Raw genomic sequence first — 14,243 nt, forward strand, 5'->3', positions numbered from 1 at the left:
TCTCCTCCATGCCACACTGCACAGGCATGGGTGAATTTAAGTAGATGGATTTTTTCTGAATTGTGGTGGGGAACAAGTTGATGGTCTTAAGTTCAACAACCTCATTAGAGCAGAATGTGATTGACTGTGACTTCAACAAAAAACAGAGAAGAAAGCCTAAATCACAGAGTCAAGACTGTGTCTCTTCCAAGGAGATAAGTGGAAAAAAGTGGAAGATCCCTGGACAGTCTGGAGAGGTGAGAAGAGAGAAGGCTGCTGGCTCAGTTCCCATTTTATTTTCACCTTTTACCATTCTCAGTGTCTCAGATTTGTAAAACTTTTGTGACTCACACTTTCAGATAGGAGTGTCACTATACTTTTCATTTTAGTTCGTGTAATAAAGTGCCAAACCTTGTTACCTCTGTTTTTATAATAAACTTGGAAGTCACTACTGTGCATATTAATCCTGTTGTTCCTTTGGTGACCAGCTTGTTCCATTTTGCACTGCCCCCACCACCCACATTTTAGAACCAAAAGTCCCAAATCCTAGGCCGGGAGTGGTGGCTCACTCCTGTAATCCCAGCACTTTGGGAGGCCAAGGTGGGTGGATCACTTGAGGCCAGGGGTTCAAGACCAGCCTGGCCAACATGGTGAAACCCTGTCTCTACTGAAAACACAAAAATTAGCTGGGCATGGTGGCGTGTGCCTGTAGTCCCAGCTACTCTGGAGGCTGGGGCAGGAGAATCACGTGAACCCAGGAGGCAGAGGTTGCAGTGAGCCGAGATCACACCACTGAACTCTGGCCTTGGCAACAGAGTGAGAGACTCTGTCTCAAAAAAAAAAAAAAAAAAGTCCCAAATCCTGGAAACCTCCTCAGTTCAGAGACAGCTGGTCACCCTAGTTCCTGTAAAGGTTGTGGGTTCTATCATGACTGCTCTGGTATTTAAATCTGCAATGTACCTCCTATTGCAGATATTTCAGAAGACACTGAATCATGACTAAAAGGATTAGAACTTCTTAAAAATTTGAGTTCACAAAATCTATTATCTTCCAAACAGAACCTTTCTTCAAAGGTCCTATCTTTCAGGCACTTTTATTAAGTGGAAGAATACATGGGAAAGTACTTTGGATAGGAGAAAATTCCACATGAGCACAAAATGCTGGTATTTATTTCTCATAATGGTACACATTCCGTTAATTATGTCTTTGACAGCTCATCTTGGATTCTATAGAAATATAGCAACATGCTATGGTGGGATAACTAGTATCAAAATACTTTAACCAATTATAATTTTGCATGGAGTGCGTGTTGGAGGGCTTTACATGTAGTACACAGAGCTTCGCTTCCACGGATGAATTCAGTGATTTGTCCTTGGTCGATCAGTTGTTCGTTGGCACTGTTGTGAAGCAGCTTCGTGTTGTGAAGCAGGTACATGGGAGGGAGTTGGCAGGGGGCTTAGCGAGCTGTCTAGCACCCGCCACCCTTAGCTTGGAGTTGTTGGACCCTCATCACTGTCTGCAGACATTTCCTGGTGGAAACGATGTGCTATAGTGGTATGCACAATGTGTCACTTCATGTCACTGTCAGGATGTGTCCTCACAAGAATAGATATTTCTGCTGTAATATGACATCTGTGTTCCCACCTGTGTTCAGCAGAATACTACAGTAAAAGTTGCAGGGCTTTTGTGGTGGGGGGGAAATAAGGTAAAGGGTAGTCCACTTCAAATATATTGAACTTGATAAGCGCAGCACTCAGAAAAGCAGTAAAAATTAAAATGCTAGCAGAGTTTACAGGTGAAATAAACTTGATGTAAGGGTTGAGGCTGCCCAATTTTGGATGCAAGGGCAAAATGCTCAAGGATCCAGGAAGATTGTACAATAAACAGTTAATTCCAAGACAGAACATGTAACCAAACCAAACGAAAAGAAAGCATGTGGGATGCAGTACTACAGGCCTCTTGGGCTTGCATGCACTGTATTTATGTATCTTGCTCATGGCTGCTGTTACTTGGTGACTCAAAATAACATTGGAAAGAAATCTCCCATGAACCAACATGACTTCTGGTTCATGCTGACATCATTCTGTATTAAGCAAAATTATATGTGATCTGATTTATGCTACAGAAATGAATATTTTGTTTTGCATGTTTCCGCTAAATAAGATGGTTCACAAAACAGGTTCAAAGTCGTAGGTGACTGTATGTTTGGAATTCGAAACCCTAAGCATGAAAAACTGCTGCAATACATTGGATAATAATACCAGACAAGTTTTAATTTGGAAAAAAGAAATCCACCCAAAGTAGAGTCACATCTCCTCTAAAATCTTTTAATTAAAATCAGACATGAACCCTTGTGTTTCTCTATTAAATACTTGGTTTTTAGTTGTTTTATGAGATTTGTGTATATGCATTTTAAGTTGAGAAAAAATGCACACTCTGGGGAGTGACTTTGTATTTGGTTTGTTTAAATATAGTTTAGTAGGACTGTAATATATAAGGAGGGTTAAGGGTCAGAATCCTATTTAATTAACTTATAAACACTTGGGAGTCAGTCACTTGTAAAGGTATGCTGAGCAAATAAGGCTTCAAATAACATGAAATCTTTGAAAAGAATATGCCACCTTTGGTGAAGGCTTTTCTATTAACCTTGTCATTAAAACTGTTTCAATGAACTACTTCAAACCTCCCAGTTTTTATTTATCTTTATGATATGTTTAATCTTTTTTAAAAATGATATATGTATACAATATTATATGTTTTTTTATTAAAAAAAAAGATTAAACATGCCTTGGTGTATCTAAGAAGACCTAAATCAGTACTTTTCCCTATGTTTGTTTTCCCATTGGCTGAGACAGGAAGAAATCCCAGAATTGCCATCCTTTTTGTCCATGTGTATCTAAAATATGACCAGTGTTTTCCATTTGCATAAATCTGATTTAATAAACAGTCACACCATTAAAATAGAACATTCTTTTCAATCAAGGCTAATTACACATCATATAATGCCTGGTCTTTAATGAGGATTTCAATAAATGTTTGTTGATAATGGTGATTATTAAAATGATATGTTAAGTCAGTCTTCTCATGTGAGAAATGCTTTGTTTTGAAATGTTAGACTTACAGCTTTGCCTAAAATTTTTTAATTAAAATCACCACTTTGGCATGAAGCTTAAAATGTGCAAAGTTGCTGCAATTAGTGCATTGTGCATCCATATGGATGTTACCAAACAGCTTTCAACTTAAAGGATTTGGGCTATTTTGAATGATGGGCCTTCTGTTAAGCTTAAAACAAAGCCTGACTATCTCTGCATTCATTTTAATTAATATTCTCTTGCTGGTCTCAAAGATGTGTTCTCTTCTAGGGGGAAGAAGCATGATTATCATAAATCAGAAATAAGTTACAGAAGTAGGTTTGACTAATTTTCTACTTCCTTCTGTTTCATACCATTTCCTCCAACTCCTACCCCCTTCTCAAGGAGCCTCAATGCAGTGTCAGAGAAACTGGAAAACACTGATTTCAGATATTCTAAAAGAAAACCTGTATTTCTAGCCAAATTATAACACATTAAATTCACTCAAAGAATAAGGAAATTAAGCTGTCCCAGATTTTCTGAATTCAGTATGAAGTTTAAAACTTACCACTTTGAATCCAGCATCCATATAAAATCTACAGTATAAAATTTGACTATGTGTTATATATACAAATATGTGTGTGTATACATGTATTTGATATTTTTACTTTAGAGAGATTTGTGTTTGCCTAGGTGCTTAGGGTTTAACAACCTTATGTGTGAACTTAATTCTCTATAATAGGAAATGCTTCTTGAAGATGAATTAGGTAAAACAATTTGTTTGTTTTTCTTGGTATTTTAAGCAAAACCAAACTCAAAGTGGCACCGTCTTGTAAGTTTGTTTTTTTCTTTTTCCGGGACATTGTTCATGTGAAACCTTCTTGACATGGTACTTGGGGAAGGGAATCTCTCTGGACTTTGTTCTCGACAAAATCAGAATAAATTCTTTAAACAGTTACGCGCTTTAGTTAAGGCCCTGGTTTTCTGACTGTGTTCAAACATCTCCCCTACAACCACTCTCCATATACCTTCAGAAGGATATCTACTCCAGTGGTCACTGGGATCCTCTGACTGTCTGGGTGCCCAAGTAAGGCCCATTTTGAATGCTAGTTTAAAAGGCATACAGCTAAAATGATTTTTTTTATTTTCATTAAACTCTTAAGAATAGGCTAAATGTGAAAAATTACAAAGCAGAATTGTAATTTACCAGAACATGTGGGTAGAATAATTCATCCAACATGTGACTGGACAGGCACAAAATCAGTAAGTCCAGTATAGAACACCACCATGGTCCTGTTTTTCTCTTTCATTCTAGCATTATGGAAACTCATTATACATCCACTAAATTTGGCACAAAGTTATCCTAATTTTTTCATTATTACCTGGATTATTTATTTTTATTTCCTTTTTGAAAGCATGTAATTAATTGCGTGCCTATCTTTAAATGCCTCCTTATGTATCAATATTTTGAATTCTACATTTGAGAAGGAGGTTGGAAGTAGTTTTATTCTAAAGCTAATACATAAAGCTAAATTTGATCAAATTATAATTATTTTTTTCTTGAAGAGAAACTAAACGTATTATAGCTTTATACTGTCTTTACTGTTATGAGGTAGCTTTCTTTCTGTCAAATGTTAGTATTTTTTTCTTCTCTGTTAGGCATATTTACAAAGAAGTCTCCTAAATAGAAATGAGCGGATTACCTCACAGCTTCACATACATCCTGGAGAATATCCTGTTCACAATTTAGGCGATGAAAGGAAAACCTACAGTTGTTTTAATTTGGAACCAAAATAATCACTTCTCTCCAGTGAGGCTTAGAGGGGGAAAAAATGTGCCAGAGTTGTCTTGTAGAAAAAAGAGTACTTTGAGGAAGGGCAATGCAGCAGGAAAAAAAAAAAACAACAAAACACAGTCAAACAAACGGAGAACCTTAGAGTGCATAAATAGGCCAGTGAAACACAGACCACCTGATCACATCGAAGCACACTGAGTGGGGGTCCTCAGCGATGTTGTCCCTCCGGCATGTAAACTGCATGCATGTGTGTAGTGGTGTGTGTGTGTATGTACACACAGAGATTTAACAGGAGCACAGAGGGAATTAGAAAGAGCCTGGCTCGTTTTTAATTTGGGTCTGTTTGCTTGCATTTAGCACTTAAGGGCTTCTACATTCAGTTTGCTCAAAAGAGTGATGAAGCACTCCTTGCTTATGCCTCAAATCAGAAATGCATGAAGTGCAGCTGCAGAGATAATACATTTTCCCCAAAGGCTTTGGCTGAGCAAATTAGGTGTCAATGGGGTGCCTGCGCAGGCAGTACTCTCTCTAATTAGTCTCTTGAGCCTAGTTGGTGGCGGGTATGAGATGATCTAATCAATTGGTCTGTGTCTGATGGTTCGTGTAAAAATCCTACCAGGCAGACTCTCTCCCACAGGTCACCCACCTGCACAGCGGGACTGCTCATTTTCATTTTTCATCTCCTCCATCACATGATGCTGACAGTTGGTTTTAAGAAAATTGAATCCAAAAAATATCTAGTTCATAGGGCACATGGGTCAGAACAAAGTTGCATTATGGGTACGGGCGATCCAATTAATTAATATTTATAGCCAAGAAGCTCTATGTAGATATTTCTGAATAAGGATTTTATCAATCAAATCCAATTTCTTGTTTAAAACATTCATTTCTAGAGAGAAAGAACATTGTAAAAGCTGAAAGCAAGATAAAAATGGCATCCACTAATCTTATGATTTATATACCTATGAGTGGCTATGCACATAGTTGAGCTTATAATTCATGTACACTGTTCATTTGTGTTGTGCATGCAACATGTTTTAATAATAAAGGTAAGGGAAAGAATTACATTGATATTATATTTCACTTCCCTGTGATTGTAGTATACCCTCTCTCCTTCCACCTAAATCCCCATTCATCAAATGCATGATTGCATTTAGATTTTCTTAAAAATTTTCCAGCAAATCTGACCTACCTTATATGCACTTATTGAAAATTGAAGCTGATGCTGCTCAAGGAGGGAGAAGGGACATCCCGTGCTGCTGGCTAACAGCACCAGGCAGGGTAGCTGGCACAATTTGGGCCATTCGGAGTCATCTCACAGAGATGGGAAAGAGTCTGCCTCTCATTGGCGCCTCTCTTCTGTTCTCATTATTGGCTTCTTCCATTAAATGTCTAAGCCCAAACCTAATCACTGTGTTCACTGTTTATTATCCAATTACTATTATTACATATTATCCTTTATTATGCAATTCTGTTTATGCCCTAGGTTAGGTACATGTGATTCTCCTAGAGATTACACTCAAAGAATCAGGACAAGGCAAGAACAAACATCATCGATGTCTAAAAAACATCTTAACCCAACAGGATAGTGAATATGCCATTGACTGTGGTGACAACATAGTTTATTGTTACGTGAAATTAGATGTACTGGAAATCAAATCATTCCTTTCAAATATAATGTCATGGAGTTAAAAAAAAAAATGTAAGTTTTGCCTACAGGAAGGTGTTAATCCTACCAACCATCCTCAGGCTGGTGGTGTATCTGTGAATGGCCTGCAGTGTGTGCAGTACTGTGCCATTTCACAGGCATCACATTTGCCTTCAGTGAATGTGCCATAGGGAACTCTACATATGAGAACATATTTCACCACCAAGTCTTCTGATTCTACAATTTCCCCTTTATTCATTCAACAACTGTATATTGAGTGCCTGAGCCGGGCCTGGGCTGTGCTCTGGGGACACAGCAGTCTACAAAATCAAGCTTAATCAAGAACATACTGATGCCACCTGTCCCCTGACTTGCTCCTTCACAGGAAGTGTCTTCACACCTCTGGAGGGACTAAATGAAGTCTCTGGTTCAGGAAGTCATTGTGGGTACCAGGTCTCCATTCTGTTGATTAAAATGGTAAAAGAGGAGAGAGCCAGGAAAGACTACATCATTTGGATATAGTTGTAGGAACTTCATGCCTGGGCAAGCAGATATCAGGACAGACCTAAAGCTCCCATTTAGCTGGAGTGGGCAGGCTTCCAGGAAGAGCTGGAATCTCAACTGCTGTTTAAAGTACATGGAAGAAAAAGGACAGTTTTGTCATCTGCTTAATAAAAATGTGAAGGCTGATAGTGGGGTTGAGGATTGGCTGAGGATGCCTGTGGACAAATGTGCTTGAAGTACTATGAGGATGAGTGCTTTCTCTTCTTGATGTCATGGTCCTCAAAAAGATGCCAGTGCCTAGATCAGAATGCATAGTTACATGGAGCAGCATGTAGAGCACGTTCTTCGTTTCCCTGAAAGAACAAGGGTAGGCTGGGGACAAAGGAGTTTGTTCCCATGTAATTATTTTTGCTAGGGTGGTGACTTCTTTAAGAAGAGGTTTGATAAAGGTATATCTGCACAATCAAGCAAGGATGAGGAGTGGTCAAGTGAGCCTTATGGAGAACTGCCCACAAGCAGCAAGGATTTGAGATAATAACTGTTGGGATGTAGAGGTAGCAAAGGGCCTATGTGTGGTATCCATTTACCCCCAGGCCTCTCCTGGAAACTTAAGGCTTTTGTTTTTGAGGACAGAGAACTCTCAAGAATAGAAGGTTACCCCTACCTCATACCATATACAAAACTTCACTCAAAATGGACCAAAGATCTAAATGCAAGGGCTAAAACTATAAGACTCTTAGAAGAAAATATAGGGGTAAATCTTCATAACCTTAGATTTCACAATGGATTTTTAGATATAACACCAAAAATATAAGCAACAAAAGAAAAAAAAAGATAAATTGCACTTTGCCAAAATTAAAAACTTTTGTACATCAAAGGACACAGTTAACAGAGTGAAAAGGCAACCTATGGAATTGGAGAAAAATCATACTATAAGGGATTAACCAGAATGTGTAAAGAACTCCTACAACTCAACAACGAAAAGACAACCCAATTTAAAAATGATCAAAGGACTTGAATAGACATTTCTCCAAAGAAGATATTCATATGGCCAACAGCCACATGAAAGAGTCCCCAACAGCTTGGGCATGGTGGCTCATGCCTGTAATCCCAGCACTTTGGGAGGCCAAGGCAGGCAGATGGCTTGAGCCCAGGAGTTCAAGACCAGCCTGGACAACATGGTGAACCCCTGTCTCTACAAATATAAAAAATTAGCCAGGCATGGTGATGTGTGCCTGTAGTCCCAGCTACTTGGGAGGCTGTGGTGGGAGGATCAGCTGAGCCCAGGAAGGTCAAGGCTGCAGTGAGCTAGGATTACATCACTGCACTCCAGCTTGGGTGGCAGAGCAAGACCCAGTCAAAAAAAAAAAAAAGATGCCCAACATCATCGATCATTAGGGAAATGCAAGTGCAAATCAGTTCATACCCACTAGGATGGCTATAATTTTTTTTAAACAAACAAATGTTTTGGCAAAATTGGAACCCTTGTGCATTGCTGGTGGAAATGTGAAATGGTACAGCCATGATGGAAAACAGTTTGGCAGTTCCTCAAAAAGTTAAACATATAATTTCCATATGACCTAGCTATTCCACTTCTAGATATATACCCAAAAGAATGGAAAACAGTGTTTAAACAAATACTTATACATGAATATTCAGAGCAGCACTATTCACTATTAGCCAAAAGATGAAACAACACAAATATAAATCAACCAATGAATGGATAAACAAACTGTGGTATATTCATACAATAGAATATTATTCAACCCTAAAAAATAATGAAGTACTGATTCATGCTACAACATGGATGAACTTCAAAAACATCATGCTAAGTGAAAAAAGCTAGACAAAATGGGTAGCATATTATATGATTCCATTTGTATATCTAGAACAGGTAAATCCATAGAGACAGAAACATTAGTATTAATAGTTGTCAGGGGCTGGGACAAGGAGAGAATGGGAGTGACTGCTTAAAGGATATAGGATCTCCTTTGGGGGTGATGAAGATGTTTTGGAACTAAATAGAGATGATAGTTGCACAGCATTGTGAATGCACTAAATGCCACTAAATTATATTCTTTTAAATGATTAATTTTTTATATAAATTTTGCTTCAATTTTTAAAAAGAATGGAAAGTTAACTTGCCAGAAACTCACCATAGTAAGTGGGGGAAATGAGCAGATGGTGGAGAGAATGCTCTTTTTATTTTTATTTTTTTTATTTTTTTGAGAGGGAGTCTTGCTCTATTGCCCAGGCTGGGGTGCCGTGGCACAATCTCGGCTCACTGCAACCTCTGCCTCCTGGGTTCATGCCATTCTCCTGCCTCAGCCTCCTAAGCAGCTGGGACTACAGGCACACACCACCACGCCTGGCTAGTATTTGTATTTTCAGTAGAGACGGGGTTTCACCATATTGGCCAGGATGGTCTCCATCTCCTGACCTCGTGATCTGCCCGTCTCGGCCTCCCAAAGTGCTGGGATTACAGGCATGAGCCACCGTGCCCGGCCACTATTTTAATGGTTCCTGAGCATAGGAGTGGAATTTCTGCTATCTGGACAAGGTATTGCTGGGTTGCTGCTATGCAGGGGTGATGTCCTTGATGCCACAGCCTGTGTGTGCAGCAGCAGGACAGGTGCACTGTGAAGTCTCAAAAAAAGGACAAAACCTTTGGGATCAGGCACCATCCAGGGTTCCCCCTGCATCTGGGAAGATGACTCTATGGCCCTGTAGCTGGAGACATGAAGGCCTCACCAGGCCTTAGTGACCAGCAGCTTCTAAACTTAGCTAAGGAACTGGTTCTGGGATTCAGTGCAGCTAATGAACCGATCCCTCAGCTATGTGCCTTGAACCTGGGAGTGTTTCCACCCATCCTGGCAAGGCATTCTTTTCCCATCCTGGAGACTCAATGAAAATGCTTAAGGGCCAAAAGGAAGTACGGAAAGGGACAGAGTGAAGCTTCCTTCTTTTTGCTTGAACCATTCACCCACAAGTTGTTATTGTTTTAAGCAGGCATTATTGGAAACACGCAGTCCTATACAGGATGTTGGGAAGAGGCTGCCAATTCAGGTCACACTGGCCAATTTTCATTCTGCTGGAACTGAAATAATGATAATAGGCAACCAAGGAATTATATACAGCTGAATTTTTTTAAAAGCGTGTTTGTGATCCGTTTTTCTATTTCATGTTCATAAAAATGAACATAATGATACGTCCTTTTAATGGTCTGTATGATGCTACAGGCACTTAATTAAGACCAGTATTGCTACTAATGATTTAGGGAAGGAAATTTGCTGAATTTCTTTTTCTCTAAATATCCAAGAGGAAGATAGACCAATTCAGTTGGTGGAGTTAAATGATTTTAAGAGAGGAAAGTGTAGTCAGAACATTTGTTTATCATATTAGAAGGATTTTTTTTTGGTTAAGGAGGCTATTCTGCTTCATATTTATGTGTTTGGAGTGGCTGTGGGGAACATCAGTGGACTCACTTTGGACTGACCAATTTTGATGTTTCATGTAATTTAGAAGAAATGAATGGTGTAGATTTTTTATATAACAATTTTCTATTTTCCTCCTTCCAGGATTAAGTTGTCATCATTCTGGGAAGAAAAAAAAAACATTAATGAAGAGGCCAATAATATGAAGGGAATCATGGATCAGTTTTCTTTCGCTCCCTGTGGTGGATTTCACTTACAAGAAAATTGAAGCTGGCAAGACCCTGTTTTCTCTGCAATTTATTTAAAACCTTGCACGCATTTGGATACCTTGTGATTTCCAAGAACTACGTGAAGATTAAGCTTTGCTTACTGATACATGGCATGTATTCTTTTCAGTCTTTTGTGTTTGATTTTGTTTGATTTCCCTCTGCAGCACAGCGTCTCTGTAAAGGTTTTTATGCTTTCACCAGCCATGTCTTAAATACATTAAGACAACACATTTGGTGTTCACACTTCTTCAGTAATGTCTGAACTTGAAAGCCACAGAGTGGCATAAAACAATGTGTGTTTTCTTTGAGAGCAGTGCACATTTTGCAACCACTAGGAAGGAAATTTTCTGCTAAAGCAAACCCCTGTTCTCTGACTTGACAACTTGGCCCCGGACTGTGGGGCCCCACCTGTTGCTTACCTTTTGAGGTAATTTTGCAAATGTGGTTTTTTTACTTGGAAATAACTGCACATTTATATATAGGATATTGGACTCTGCTTAGCATTTTCAAGCCACATAGCATGACTGTTTTTTGAATAGGTTGGAATTGAAAAAACAATTATCAAACGTTAAGAACAAAGACAGGGATAAATTGCTTACATTTCAACCTCTGGAGATTGAGGTAACTTTTTGTGTCTGGGTCTTGTCAACATCTAATTTTTTTCCATCCATTCTGTTACACTTTGTATTTTCTAACTGGAGAAAAGAGTGAGGAACAGAATGTTTTAAATCTGGTGCAAAAGAACTATATCTGCTGGATGAGCCTTGAAAGCAGTCTTGGCCTGTTAGGGCTTACAAAGTAAATTACAAAGTGATCCAGTTCAAAGTTTGCTTAGTTACAACAAAGCACCTTTAAAAAAAATACATTTTAAAAAAACATTCCAAGCCAATTGGAAGACATCATTGGGTTCTTACTTTAAGACATCTCCTGGAATAACTGTTCAAATGCAGGTTTTAGAAACAATGCAGGAATCTTGCTTTAAAGATGAAAAAGGGAATGGGCCAGCTTCCCTTACTCAAGGAGTTGAGGGACCTTGGAGGATGAAGGCGAGTATGTGACACTGGAGAAAAGTGGACCAGGCATGTCTTTTGCTTTGATCTGGAGGGAGGGCTGCCTGATGCAGGCCGGCTCCCAGTGGGGCAGGCCTCGCTGCAGAATGCCCAGTAGTACTGCGGCCAAGGGGACAGTTAGGAGACTTCATCTAAAGCATGAAACCTAGCTCCTCTACACACAAATTCCTATGGAAATACCTTTGTGTACAGTGTCTTACATTTTCCTATTAGTCAGAAAGAAGGAGAGAATGAGTGAGTGCTTGAAATGTGTCATACTGTTTTAGGATCAAGACTAGGAATTAGGAGCCAGGTTGACAAGGACTTTTTCTGAGAGTTGGGTGAGGGTAAAGCTTTTCTATAATCAAGCTCAATACACCAAGGAAACTGGATCCAGAATTCCTAAACTTTAAAATGGTACTGTCTGCGGAGTGGAGTATGGATGGTTATGTCAAAGTCATAGTTCATCCTATCCAGATGTAGCATTCATGGTAAACTTTTAAGTGCTAAGCAAGGAATTATTTACTGATTGGTTTTAAAGAGAGCAGAAAACACCCAAGTGTAGAATGTCTACTGTTTGCTACCTAGAAATCTTTTCCATTCCTCTTTCATACATTCCAACCCACTGGAAGTCTTTAGAGGTATTTTGATTTAAAGTATACTTAAATTAGGATTTCTTAAAGAAAACATAGGGAGAAAACTTTACATGCAATTAAAAATGGACTTTCCTGTGATTTGTTTTTAATCATTCATTTGGAGAAGAGGCATGACCTTTGTATTTCACTAAGTTTAAAGCAAGAGCAACTGATGATTAAATGTTGCTTTTTAATAAGGTTTTTAACTTGAAAATTTGAAAATATTTAATGTTGAAAGACTTCAATTAGGGCTATTAGAGTTATATCTCCCTGTCGTAGGCAGCTTCTTCGGAGAAGTGAAATATAACATTACTCAGTGGACGGAGAAATCTGTTTTGTTACAGAGACATGCCTCTCAGAAGGTCAGGAGGTTTTGAGTACCTATCCTTGCCACCCATACAGGAAATCCAAAGTTTGGTGTCTCTCTCTCTCTGTCTCTTTCTTTCTCTTTCTCCCCCCAAACCCCTCTCACTCCCTCCCTCCCTCTCTCCTTCCCCTATTTGCAATCATATTCTCCCTCTGCTTCTTTTCTCTTCTGCCCTCCTTGTGGGCAGTCATGAAAATCAATTCAGACTGTGTTGATTAGCAGATTTATTATTCTATTGAGAAAGCACTGGAATGTTTTGTGAGATTATTTTTATATGAAGGAATAGCCTGAACTCAAACAGATGGTAAGAATAGTACAAACACCTTAGCACATCACTGCACACACAGTATTCTGAAAGGAGATTTGACACTTAATTCCCATTTTCTTAAAATAACAGTTTTGTTGACTTAAAAATATGAGATACATAGGATGTGAAAAAAAATGTTTGCAGTACTCAGCAAAAAATAGGGTACATAAAGCAGGGTGGCTGTCCATCCACTGATTCTGGGGTGAGAAGCGATTTCTACCTCGCAAGAGTGACTAGAAAGTTTCTAGGAGCACCTCCAGGCTTGCAAAGAAAGTGAGGCCTCTTGGTATCCTTTCCTCAGTGTGTATATGACAGCCAGTATAATCAATACCCTAGGTTATGCGTCTATATGATACTCATCTGTGAATATTATTGGTTTTGTAATCTTTGTTATATAAGAGGATGTTTAGGCTGTATATACTGGGGTAGATTATTGCCTGCCCCTTATACATAGGAATATGCTGCATAATTGCGCATAACTTCCATCTCCCTTACTGGCTTGTAGGCAGAGGAAACTGTATATGTTACTGCCTTGTACTTTTCTCATACACCAAAAACACACCAAAAAAATCAATAAAATAAGCAATCTTCTATTCTCATTCCTTTTCCCACAGCAGCATATTTTAGAGGCACATACAAAACCTACATTCTCTAGTTGGGAGTGGATTTTTAAAGTTTTCCTTTTATCTTTTATTTTTTTTTGTATGATGCACTGAGATGTGTACTTTCTAACAGGGGATTGGTACCTAAGAAATGTGGTAGCATTATTCAGAAAACTATTATACTTTCAAATGACACATAGTAAGGAGAATGGAATAATACATGTTGCATATTTGTTACCAGTTGTAATTTGTCTGTATTATGAAAGATGTAATGGTTTGTCAGCTGTCACTGTTGTTTTCTTGTAACATGATATGGAATAAAGTATAGCAGAATCTCCGTACATGTTCTAGGTACATCTTCTTGGTGGATGCCCAGTAAGAGCATATACCATATCAAAGAAACATTGACTTAAAAACCTCTTGAACACAACCATTCTTACACAGTGAAATAAGAACAAATACACAATATGTGGGAAGGAGTGAGTTATCTGGAATGGTCCAGGAGTCTGTTAAACCCTCCCCTTTCCTTGATTTGCTGTGCCAAATTTATGTAAAGGAGTAGAGACCATGCGAAACAGATCTG

General features: G+C 38.7%; 1 protein-coding gene across 4 annotated transcripts in view; it reads left to right on the top strand.

Annotated features, from left to right (window-relative positions):
- The window catches only part of CDK14 (cyclin dependent kinase 14), a 614,270-nt gene extending 600,269 nt beyond the window's left edge, over positions 1–14,001 (top strand). For all 4 annotated transcript variants that reach the window (NM_001287135.2, NM_012395.3, NM_001287136.1 and 1 more), the window contains one exon: positions 10,576–14,001. The gene's annotated coding sequence lies outside the window, so the exon portion shown is untranslated. The remainder of the gene's footprint in view (positions 1–10,575) is intronic.
- The last annotated feature ends 242 nt before the right edge of the window (positions 14,002–14,243 follow it).

This window comes from Homo sapiens, chromosome 7, assembly GCF_000001405.40.
Source record: "Homo sapiens chromosome 7, GRCh38.p14 Primary Assembly".
NCBI lineage: Eukaryota > Metazoa > Chordata > Mammalia > Primates > Hominidae > Homo > Homo sapiens.